This window comes from Homo sapiens, unplaced genomic scaffold (assembly GCF_000001405.40).
Source record: "Homo sapiens unplaced genomic scaffold, GRCh38.p14 Primary Assembly HSCHRUN_RANDOM_CTG42".
NCBI lineage: Eukaryota > Metazoa > Chordata > Mammalia > Primates > Hominidae > Homo > Homo sapiens.
This window is the reverse complement of record NT_187513.1, coordinates 20,102-32,608: the sequence shown is the minus strand read 5'-3', so window position 1 is coordinate 32,608 and position 12,507 is coordinate 20,102. Positions and strand designations below refer to the sequence as shown.

Sequence of the window (12,507 nt, the reverse complement as noted above, 5' to 3'; positions counted from 1 at the left end):
TAGGTAAAGATCAGAACTCCAACTAGCACTTAACTCACTGGAAATATCTTAAGAGTCTCAAAATTCACTGCTTTGAATCCCTGACAAGTATAAAAATTTTATACTGAAAACTTCATGCTATTCAAAACATTAAAACAGAAACATCTGACCTAAAGCTTACATTTTTAAAATCTTTTTTATGCTTCTAAATTTGTTTTTATTCAAATATGGATACCAACAATAACATTTATGTCAAAGCCTTCTGTTCAATATTGAACAAATAGAATTAGGAATAAGAATAATATGAGTACATCCAATCATTGAATGTACTTTATTTACAGTATTCCATTAAATGTACCTGCTCTCAATGTCTGTACATTCTTTCTTTGTACTGCTCCTTTCACAGCAGGATCTTCCACTTCAGTGCTAGGCTGAATGGGTTTTAAAAGAAAACGATTCATAAATCATATATATTTTATACAACATGGAGTTAGTGATTCAAAAATATACATAATTAATTACCTTCAAGGAAGGATGTTTTGCAGGAGGCCCTACAAAGCAAAGGGGATATGTCATCAATTATATGTAAGTATGACAGGGCCAACCAAACATTCATGCAGTGTTACTGTCGAGCTGAATTCTCAGGCCTGGCTATAAAAATAATTACTTAAGGTTTTGAGGGTTCTTCTTGGCTTCTTCTTTTCATTGCCTAGGACAGCAACATGACAGAAACACAATGAGGAAAATAGGAATATAGGATTCCCAAAATGCACAGTTTACATTTCGGTAGTGAGATTATGTTTCAAATGCCTATACTTAAAATAGAAAAGCATTGATATAACCGTGAACACGTGGACTGATAAGGAGAAAAGGGACCATTAAACAGAGGGGCAAATTAAACCTGAGAGAATCAATGTCAAAGCTGATGGTGAATGTACAGAGTATTTTAACTCCACACACCAGAGGCATTGCTGCCAGCACAGCACAAATAAATTCCCCTTGTCTTGTCACTGAGGAAATACGCAGTTGGGATGACAGTTCAGATGAATGTGGGATTCACCTCTCATCAAAGAAAGGGTTCTACATTGATCAGCTAGGATACACACTTATGAAATAACAGCTAATCAAACTACTCATTTTTCCCATGATCACATGGGCTACTGCAGCACCTACATTTCTCCTATCCCCTCATTTGGCCTTGAATTAGAGCTCCTTGATCCACTCATGCAAGGTGGTCCATAAAACACATCAAATAAACCATGTCGAATAAGCTTCTGATATCAAAATATTTATCAAAAAAGAAAACATTGAATGACCACAGACTTGCTGGATATTAATACATATTTATATTTCAAAATCAGTGCAGTATTTATTGAAAATGATAATTTTGGTTTTCATGGAATGAATTTTATGATTACTTCTAAAATTAACTAAGTTTGGTATATTATCTTACACTGTAAAGGACTTTTATAAAACAGCTATCATATCAAAGAACTGGCTGTCTCAAAAAAATTTCACCAAAGCATCTATATGCAAGTTAATCATATCTTATTCACTCATGTCAGTGAAACTTCTCTCCCTGAGGCCTGACAGTTATCAAGTGAAATGAGCTGCTGTGGTTTACCCCAACTCTAGCACTCCCTCCTGTCTCCAGTACTCTCCACAGCAATAACCTCTTTTGTGAGACTGGGCATATGCTGAAGCAACTGGAAGTGAGTTGTCTCAAGTTTACTTGGCTTTAACTCCCAAGACCCCAGCAAATGTCCTTCTTTCCTCCTTTTGTGTCCTTTCACCATCCCTCTTCCTTTGAAAAAATGATTATCAGAACTGTCATCCTGATGCTTCCCTTCCTAACTGCTTTTTATGGATGATTGTGACCACTTTTTTCATCTGTATTCAGCAGTAGTATACACCTGTAATCTCTCTTTTTTCATCTCATTTTCCTTCCCCTGTGGCTAGAATCATGCTCAGAAATAAAAGGAAATTAAAGCTTTCCCTGGATTCTGTTATTTTTTAAATTGCTCTCCAGTGGTTCTTTTTCCAGATTTCTCTAAAGGAAAGCTATTCCCTTGCTATTCAGAGCTGTGTCCAAGGACCAGCACAAACATCACCTGAGTGCTCATGAGAAATGCAGACTCCAATACCTGCTGAGTCAGAATGTGCACTTTCCAGAAGCTCCTCAACGAATTCATGACAATTTGAATGCCCTGTTCCACACTGGTGTGCTTCCATATTGGTTTACCCTAACTGGCCTTTTTGGCCTAGCCTCAACTTCTTTCTTATTATGTCCCTGAATTTAATACTACGTTATAAACCATAATGTTTCTAATGAACTTTTAATCAGGCAAAGCTTCTCTAATTAATTTCTTCCCAATAAATCACCCAACACTATTCTTTTCATTTTCTATAAAAACAAATTATAGCCATACATGGCTGACCATTTACAGTGATGTTCATCTATGGTAGATAAAACACAGGTCTGCATGGTAAAGTACCTCAATCCTTAATGCCTCCCCAGTAGCGAGAATGACAGCAAGAGAAGGAAAATGTTACTGTAATTATATGACACATTTTGGTACTAGAAGCTCACTTTATCTTCCTTCCTATTTCTAACACCCTGTTCCTCCTTCTTCTACAGATCAATTTGACTTTACTACCCTCCATTACATACATCCACTCTTTTTTATTTATTCCATGTACACTCTTCCCTCCTCATTCTTTCTTTCTCTTTTATTCATTTCCTCTTCCCTCTCTCCTGACTTGCCTCAGGTCTTAGAGTATGTTAAAATGGAACTCATAACTCAGCTCCTTTAGTGGTACTTCCAATAGAATCAACTGCTGACCCTTGGTTAGAGACACCACTTATCACCATTTCATTTCTCTTTTACTTATGATACAGTTAATAGGACATTTTCTTTAGCTATTAAACTCTATTAGTGCTCATATTTTAAAAGAAACATTCCATCAATGCCTTTTTTTTTTTGAGATGGAGTCTCACTCTGTCACCCAGGCTGGAGTGCAGTGGCACGATCTCCGCTCACTGCAAGCTCCACCTCCTAGGTGCACACCATCCTCCTGCCTCAGCCTCCCGAGTTGCTGGGACTACAGGCACCCGCCACCATGCCCGGCTAATTTTTTGTGTTTTTAGTAGAGATGGGGTTTCACCATGTTAGCCAGGATGGTCTTGATCTCCTGACCTCATTACCCGCCCACCTTGGGCTCCCAAAGTGCTGGAATTACAGGCGTGAGCCACCGCGCCTGGTCTCCATCAAATGACTTTTTAAATAAAATACGGTTCTCACCTTTTCCTTTTCCATTGACTATTCTGTTTCCTTTTTCATGAGAAGGTCCACGTAAAGGCTCTGACACTTTCTCGGGGACACACTGCTAAGGTAATATCAAGAATTAGTTTCCATTTAAAATTATAATGAGTTGCATCAAGAGTTTCTTATCAATCTCTTTTTATGAAACTGGGTCTCACTCTGTCAACCCAGGGCTAGAATGCAGGGGCCTGATTATGGCTCACTGTGGTCTCAAACTCCAGACCTCAAGCAATCTTCCCACCTCAACTTCCTGGATAGCTGGAACTACAGGTGCATACCATCATGTCATGCTAATGTTTTTATTGTTATCTTTGTAGAGACAAGGCCTCATTATACCTCCCAGGCTGGTCTCAAGCTCCTGGGCTCAAGCAAATCTTCCACTTCTGCCTCCCAAAGTGTTGAGATAAGCAGTGTGCACCACCACACCCAGCCCTAATCAATTTCTTTAAATCAATCTCAATGTTGCCCAGGCATGGTGGCTCACACCTGTAATCTCAGCCCTTTGCAAGGCCAAGGTGGGTGGATTGCTTGAGTTCAGGAGTTGGAGACCAGCCTGGGCAACATAATGAGAACACATCTCTACACAAAAAATACCAAAAGGAGTCAGGCATGATGGTGTGTGCCTGTAGTCCCAGCTGCTTGGGAAGCTGATGTGGGAGGATCACTTGAGCCTGAGAGGTGGATACAGCAGTGAGCCAAGATCATGCCACTACACTGCAGCATGGACAACAGAGCAAGACCCTGCCTCCCCAAAAATTTCAATTTAAAATGTGAGAACAAAGAGAGATACAAACAAAAAACAAGCCTAATTAGTCAATGAAATATGAGCTTAAGCCAAGAAAGAAAACGAAAAACATGAAGTATAATAAAGTACATGGGGAAATAGATCTATAACAGAGCCTTCGGTCTTTCATAACTCTGATAATACTAATTAATATTTATGCTGCAATTAGTTTTTTGTAAGTACTTCTGTGATAGTGTTTCTTACTATAAGACATTCAATTAGCTAAATATGGTCATCTACCATTACCTGAAAGAACATTATTATAACAGAGAGAGAAAACTGGAACTTTCCATCAACTTTCCACCCAGAAAAAGAATTGGTCACCAGAATTCTAAAGAGTAATGTATGGCAGACACATGAAAAAATGCTCATCATCACTGGCCATCAGAGAAATGCAAATCGAAACTACTATGAGATATCATTTCACACCAGTTAGAATGGCAATCATTAAAAAGTCAGGAATCAACAGGTGCTGGAGAGGATGTGGAGAAATAGGAACACTTTTACACTGTTGGTGGGACTGTAAACTAGTTCAACCATTGTGGAAGACAGTGTGGAGATTCCTCAAGGATCAAGAATTAGAAATACCATTTGATCCAGCCATCCCATTACTGGATATATATGCAAAGGATTATAAATCATGCTGCTATAAAGACACATGCACATGTATGTTTATTGTGGCACTATTCACAATAGCAAAGACTTGGAACCAACCCATATGCCCATCAATGATAGACTGGATTAAGAAAATGTGGCACTTACACACCATGGAATACTATGCAGCATAAAAAAATGATGAGTTCATGTCCTTTGTAGGGACATGGATGAAGCTGGAAACCATCATTCTGAGCAAACTGTTGCAAGGACAGAAAACCAAACACCACATGTTCTCACTCATAGGTGGGAACTGAACAATGAGAACACTTGGACACAGGATGGGGAACATCACACACCAGGGCCTGTCATGGGGTGGGGGGAGAGGGGAGGAATAGCATTAGGAGATATACCTAATATAAATGACGAGTTAATGGGTGCAGCACACCAACATGGCACATGTATACATATTTAACAAACCTGCACGTTGTGCACATGTACCCTAGAACTTAAAGTATAATAATAATAATAAAGAGTAATGTATGGCTTGAAACAGTATATTTAATGGAACATGAGTTGGGTCTAACAAAAAGCTTAAGAAATGTTAATCTAAAATCTCAATGTTAAGATTCCAGTTGAATGATACTAGAAAATATATTGTAACCCTCTTTGCTACCGATGACCTATTTCTCTTTTATTTCCTTTTTAATTATGGCATAATTTCTCAACATAACATGTCAAAACTTATACACCCTTAAATATTAAAAAATAATACAATGTAAGCAATATTTTAAATACAATATTTAATGATTAGATACATTAGGTTTATTATATTACTTATAACATTCCATTATATAAAAATTCATTTGTTTATTTATTCAGATTAAACAACTATTAAGGCTGAATGTCTCATGTCTGTAACCCCAGCACTTTGAGAGGCTGAGGCGAGCAGAACACCTGAGCCCAACAGTTAAAGAAGAGCCTGGGCAACAAGGCAAAACCCTATCTCTACAAAACTCAGCCCAGCATGGTGACACAGGTCTATGGTGTCATAGCTCTATTGTTTCAACTACTTGGATGGCTGAGGTGTGAGGATCACCTGAGCCTAGGAAATGGAGATCGGAGTGAGCCAAGATCTCACCAGTGCCCTCCAGCCTGGGTGACAGAGTGAAACCCCATCTCAAAAAACAACAAGTAAAATGCTTCTTACATGGAAGACTGTATTCTAGGTACTCCAGGATACACACAAATATGTTTACTGACCTCCAGTAGCTTATGGTATGCAGGAGCTTCCAATGATCATTTAAAAAACTAAATAGAAAACCTTCTGACATTCAAACTTTCAGAATATGATATAAGGACTTTGAGTGGTTATTTTATTTTATTTTATTTTTTAAGATGTAGTCTTGCTCTGTCACCCAGCCTACAGTGCAATGGTGCAATCTTGGCTCACTGCAATCTTTGCCTCCTGGGTTCAAGCGATTCCCCTGCCTTGGCCTCCTGAGCAACTGGGATTACAGGCATGCACTATCATGCCTGGATAATTTTTGTGCTTTTTTTTTTTTTTTTTTTTTTTTAGAGACAGGGTCTCACCATGTTGGCCAGGCTGATCTTGAACTCCTGACCTCAGGTGATCTACCCACCTCGGCCTCCAAAAGTGCTGGGATTACAGGTGTGAGCCACCACGCCTGGCCAAGTAAATATTTTAAATAAACTACAATGACAAAATTATGATGATAAAGACTTACCATATTGGTATTAAGAGTCTCTGCTTCTAGAACTGGTTATTTGCAGGAAAATACAAGTTATTCAATTAGATGAAGTGTTTTATATAAACTCTTCATGGACAACTCATAAATCACATAAAAATCCCTTTGCAATACAAATCTTGAGAACATAAATTTAAATTTCTACATTTCCACAATTTATATTTTTAAATCAGATACAATGTTGCCCAGGCTGTTCTCAAACTCCTGTGTTCAAGCAATCTTACTGTCTCAAACTCCCAAGTAGCAGAGACTACAGGTGTACACCACCAAACTCAGCTATTTTTCTACAATTTTTAATACTTTTTTAGTCTCACTACAGAACCAATAATATAAGTAGAGAAACAATCTCTCCTAAAAACTATATGACACCAAAATGATAAGTTTCCAAGAACAAAAGCTATATGCTATGTGCTGAACATTTCTGCCACTAAAAATTACCAGGAGGATTCCATGATTACTGCAAACAATTTGATCCACTGAAGATTTATACAGGAATAAATATTAAGAAAGTCACACTCGTATGATTTAAAAGTCAAAGTAGTAGTATTTATCCAAATAAACTTTAACCAAATTTCATATTTCCTCTATTGGAGAAAGCATTTCCTAATGTGATTTTCCTGTGACTACTTGTTTTCCAGTTCATTTATTTTTCAGCTCCCACCCTGTCACAGTACTTACCAATCTTTATTAGTTACCAAAGTTAAACACATTTTTTGAATCAACTAGCCATGTGTATGTTTTTCTCTGACCAGCTTTCCATTACCACCATAAAACAATGATAGGTAAACCACTGCTAAATTTGAAAAGTAAATACTATGCAAAACTACACTCAGAGTGAGAAGATTAATTTTACAAGAGACCACTTTACCTTAGTAGCAACACTCAAGTCTTCATCATCCAATGTAGGCAATGAATCCACACACAGTTTATGCAAAATGCTTGAGAGCAAAAATACACAATGAAAATGAGCAAGTTGATTTCTTTACAATTTTTTTAACTGCCAGTTTATATCCAGCTTCCCCCTCAAAAAAAGGAAAACATAATCTGGGGAAAGGTCAGTGATCTATATATTAAATTATGATTCTTGATATAATTAAAATATGTCCTCTGTTCTAAAAATAGATTTTAGTTACCTATTTCTGCCTCCACCTGTCTAAATCTATAAAATATTCAATGAAAACTTACCTTGAGGTTTATAACAAATAGTGACAGTCAATATATTGGCAGAGCCTGACAATAATGTGCCCTCACAAATTATCTGTCCTGAAGCTGAACTTAAAATTCAATTAATGGATGACATAAATTTTGTTCCCTAAACTGGAATAAAACTGATGACCTAAAACAAGGTAGAAAGATCCACTGTCTCTTTTCTGTGATCTGTCTCTGGATAAAAGACTAATCTACATCACTTCAAAATGGTAGTCTTGATTCCTCAGCATGGATCCAACTTAGGAAGGTCCTATTGCTTTCCTTTACCCTAAATTGGTACAGGAAAGCCCCCACAATATTTGAAATGTATGAAAGCTAAATGTACAGAAGTCAAATAGCAAAGGTGTATGTTCTTACTGAGAATACTTTTCCCAGAAATATTAAAATATTAACAATTATAAAATCCCATTATTTTCACTCTATAGGTCCTACCTTATTCAGGTCCACATAAACTAGCAAGCCCTTAAAAATTTTCATAGGCACTCAGACACCCAAGGAGAGAGACTGCGAGGAAAGAAACAGAGTCATGATAGTTGTACCTCTATTTCCCTAAGTACTATCTAAGTATATTTCTTCCTATGGACACCCACTTCCAGATTCTACTTCTGCAGGGTTCCACAGAAGTCTCCAATCTTCAAATCTTCAGTGTATGAAAGCACAGATTCCTGAAAGAATGGCCTCAAATGACCAGGAGTAGGAGCTCTCTATATCCCTGCTCCTGAAAAACAAGCTAACTGGAGTCTCCATCACCTGCCACCAGCTATACACACTACCAACTACCCAACTGAACTCCATGACTGATTTGCCAGCTAATCATGCCCCTGACCCAGCCCACATGGACATGGGAAGGACATCAGTGAACCGTGAAAAGAGGCAGAGGTGAGGAGACACCTGTCCTGTGCCACACATCTATGTAGTTCAGCAATTTCCAGCCCCTTAGTACTCCAGGGGCTCTAAGCCACCCCTTTGTAAGTCAGGATGGAAGTAGATGACACCACATTTTTATCTGCTGTAGACATTCTTCCCAGTGTCTCAAAATGTTTTGGCATCTTTCAGTAAAAATCTTCAAGTTTGTCAGTCCTTGATTTAAAAAAAAAAAGCAGCAAAATTTTTAGAGCTCCCTTGAACCTTCTATTTTAATGTGCCTTTGTAGATAATTCCCAACATCTTGTGTCCTTCATTTTTATAATTTATCTTTATCAAACTTGTCATAAACCCCAATACTTTGATCTCTTGTAGAAGAGTCCGTACTCCTATCCAGTCCAGTGTTGTTTATCTTCAAACTTGGACTTCCCCTGCTCATTCCATTCTTATCTACTTCCATTGGGTTCACCAGCTAATTCCATTCTCATTCTATCCACAGGCTCACTCCCGTTTGTATTATTAAAACACACGCCAATAGGACATAAAAAGAAGCAAGAGTACTGGGCTTTACCATGAGTTCAAATCTCATTTCTGCCAATTCCTATGTCTAAAAAAAAAAGCTTCCTAATCTCTTTGAGCCTCACATTCTCTATCTAGAGAATCACTTGACCAGAATGTTCAATGCAGATAAAAATACTAGAAGGTATTTTAATTCATTCCAAGATTCCTTAAAATTCTGTAATTCTATGTCCTCTTGATTCTGTCTATAGAAAAACTTGGAATACATAGGCAGCAGAGTTTGAAAAAAATAATAGAACAAAAGAAACACCAAGAAAAACAGAGAAGAAAGTTTTAAAAAATGAAGACAAGATTATATAAAAGTCATGGAAAAAGCAACAAGACTAAAAAATGTATTATGGAAGTAAGCAGAAATACTTGCCTAAATGGAAAACCAAACTGGGAAGTCAAATAATTTGTCTCTAAGACTTGCCTAAACTTGCTTTGGTAAAACTTACAGTCCTATGGCCAAAGCTAAGTCAGATCTGCCCTAGAGCCTTTGAAGGTAAAAATAAGATACTGGTTACCACTGAAATCGTCAAATTTATTAGGACTAACCACATTCTAACAATAAACTTAAATGAGAGTTCAAGGTATTTAAACTCTCATTAATTTAGAAGTTAATCAAATTAATGAATCCGATTGATCTGATTCAGACCTATACTTTGATCCAAGGACTGCACAGATATCTATCAATCTATGCTGAGGAGCAAGAGAAAGGATTTGGAAGGCAGGTAGGCTGATGGTCAAACTGTAGGCCAGCTACTTTGTTAACTATGGGATCATGAGGCAATTAATCAGCTCTAATCCATAGTTGTTTATTTAACAGTAGGTTATAGGAACACAGATGTTATGATGGCTTTATGAGATGATAAATGCATAGAACATATTAGGATGTCTAGCCCAGAATACAACACTCAACAGATATTAGTTTCTTCCATCTATATTTTCTTAGTTAACATAATTTTTTAAATCTATGAAATCTTACCTGACTGCAGATTCATCAGGAATTCCAACATCTATTAAAGAAAAAGGTAAAATGCATTTTAAATCAATAATAAATGTACAGAATATTAAAATCATAAGAATGCACAGTGATGCATGCCTCTAATCCAAACTACTTGAGAGGATGAGGCAGGAGGATCACTTGAGGAGCTCAGAAGTTTGAGACCAGCTTGGGAAACATAATAAGACTCTACCTTCATAAAAAAATTGTGCACACTTGTGTGTATGCTTTACATCCTGTTTGTTGTTGTTGTTGTTGTTGTTGTTGTTTTGGTTTGGTTTGGTTTTTTAAAGCATAAGACTGACGCTTTGTTACAAAGCATTCCTTTGGGAGCATGCCTGGGATCTTATTAGAATTAACATTCATTATACGTATTGGTAGGTAATTAATGCAGTAAGAACTCTTCCCTCTGTGTTTATTAGATGCAAAGAAGAATAAATTTATTAAAATTTGGTATCTACAAGTGAGCTGCAGTATACAAGTCATCCTAGCCAAAGCCTATGAGATTGAGTAAAAATGGTATTGTTAGCAGAACAGGTGTGATGAGTCAACAGTGTCAAAGAGCATGATTTCTGGACCAAAATATGAGGGGCCATTACAACAGAGTATACACTAGTACCCCTTATCCACTATATGCGCAGAAAGACATACTTGACACGTTTTTCTCTGTTGTCACACCACAGCAACAATCATCAACAAAGAAGGCTTCTGTGACCAAATGTGTGGAGAGTTTTTCCCCACCAACAAACAAGCAATCATTCCTGCTGATGACACAATTCAATTCTCACACCCTATCTACAGATAACATCAGATTTAATTTAATTTATAAATTAAACTTTCTCATAGATATGTATGTATAGGGAAAAACAGCTTGTGATTCAGTACTCTTCATGGTTTCATGCATGCACTGGGGGTCTTGGAATGTATCTCCCACAGTTAAGATGTAGTTACTGCACTTATTTTGTTATAACACAACACAGCCTCTCTAGCTCTTCAGTTCAAACTGTTTAGTTTAGAATTAAACATGCTATCGCCAGAAACCAACAAAACATAGGAATCAGACCAGAAACAGGAATCCTTGCAAAGACTTTCCAGCCACCAGTGGAGAAGATCTCAAGAGAGATCAGTGTGTTACTCTGGCTAATACTCTTCTGGGTAAGGTGCTGGGTGGTTTCCTTAGTTGTAGCTATTTGCTCTGGCCTACGTATAACAAGGCCCAAATTCACCTGCCATTTTACCTCCCACGAAAGAACCACTGGAAAGATCACTCCGTTAAGAGCTTATCCACATTCAGAGAGAAGCTGAATAAACACTCGGGAGGTATGGCAGGCTGCCGGGCAATATTATCTGATGTGAAAAAATATATAGAAAGAAAACTATCAATGCCCTTTTACTACCAGAATGTTCTAATGCTTGCCCATCTCCCTAGTAGGAGAAAAAAACTTTTGCACCTCGCATAAAGCAAAACTCCCTTGTCATCTCTCATGACAGAATCTAGTTGTAGGTGAGTCATGTCATCATAATACAGGCTGTTGTCAACCTCATCCCTCAAAGGAAGAGGATCAGTGAGGAACTTATGTATTTACCTAATAGCATTCACTGCCTGGTCTTATTTCCAACCGAAGGTAAGTATGAAAGACTTTGTGATTCCAGTTTTATAAAGCACAACCCTTTGCACTTGTCCCCTTCCATTGCTAAAAAGTCTATCTGGACCCACCTCACAGAGCAAGATGCTCCAGGTTGTGCTGTGTAGTACGGCGTGGTGTCCTTTTCCTCAACCCTTTCTATTATGTGCCACATATCTATACAAATCATGTTTTCTAAGTATGTAAATCATATCTCAACAGAATACATCATTCTTTACAATGATAAAGAAGCAAAAGAAAAACAAAAGGACAAAGAACATCTTAAATGACTACATTCAACTGCCATGGAGCTTTAATTTTTTAACTACTCAAAAAGATATCCATTCTTCTTATTCCAACTATATGACTCTTCTGAAAAAAGTAAAACTATGAAGACAGAGTAAACATCAATTGTTGTCACGAGTTGCTAGGGAGAAAGGGAGAGATGAACAGGCATAGCACAGAGAATTTTTAGGGCGGTGAAACTGTTCTGTCGATAATATTACAGTAATAGATACATGTCATGTCATTATACATTTGTCCAAATTCACAGAATGTACAGCATCAAGAGTGAGGCCTGATGTAAACTATGAACTTCAAGTGATTATGTCAATGTAAGTTCATCAGTTGTAACAAATGGACCACTCTCTGGTGGAAAATATTAATAATGGGGGAGGCTATGCGTGTGTGGGAGGCATGGGATATATGAGAAATCTCTGTACCTTCCTCTCAATTTTGCTGTGAACCTAAAACTACTCTAAGAAATAAGGTTATTGATTTAAAAAAAATATTCAGC

The 12,507-nt window shown here is 37.4% G+C and overlaps 1 annotated feature.

Annotated features, from left to right (window-relative positions):
• Positions 11,062-12,048: an enhancer, noted in NCBI's record as "OCT4-NANOG hESC enhancer chr1:142801583-142802569 (GRCh37/hg19 assembly coordinates)". NCBI's record gives its function as "activates a minimal SCP1, AML or CMV promoter by ChIP-STARR-seq in primed H9 embryonic stem cells {active_cell/tissue: H9 hESC(primed)}" and the evidence as "EXISTENCE:reporter gene assay evidence [ECO:0000049][PMID:30033119]".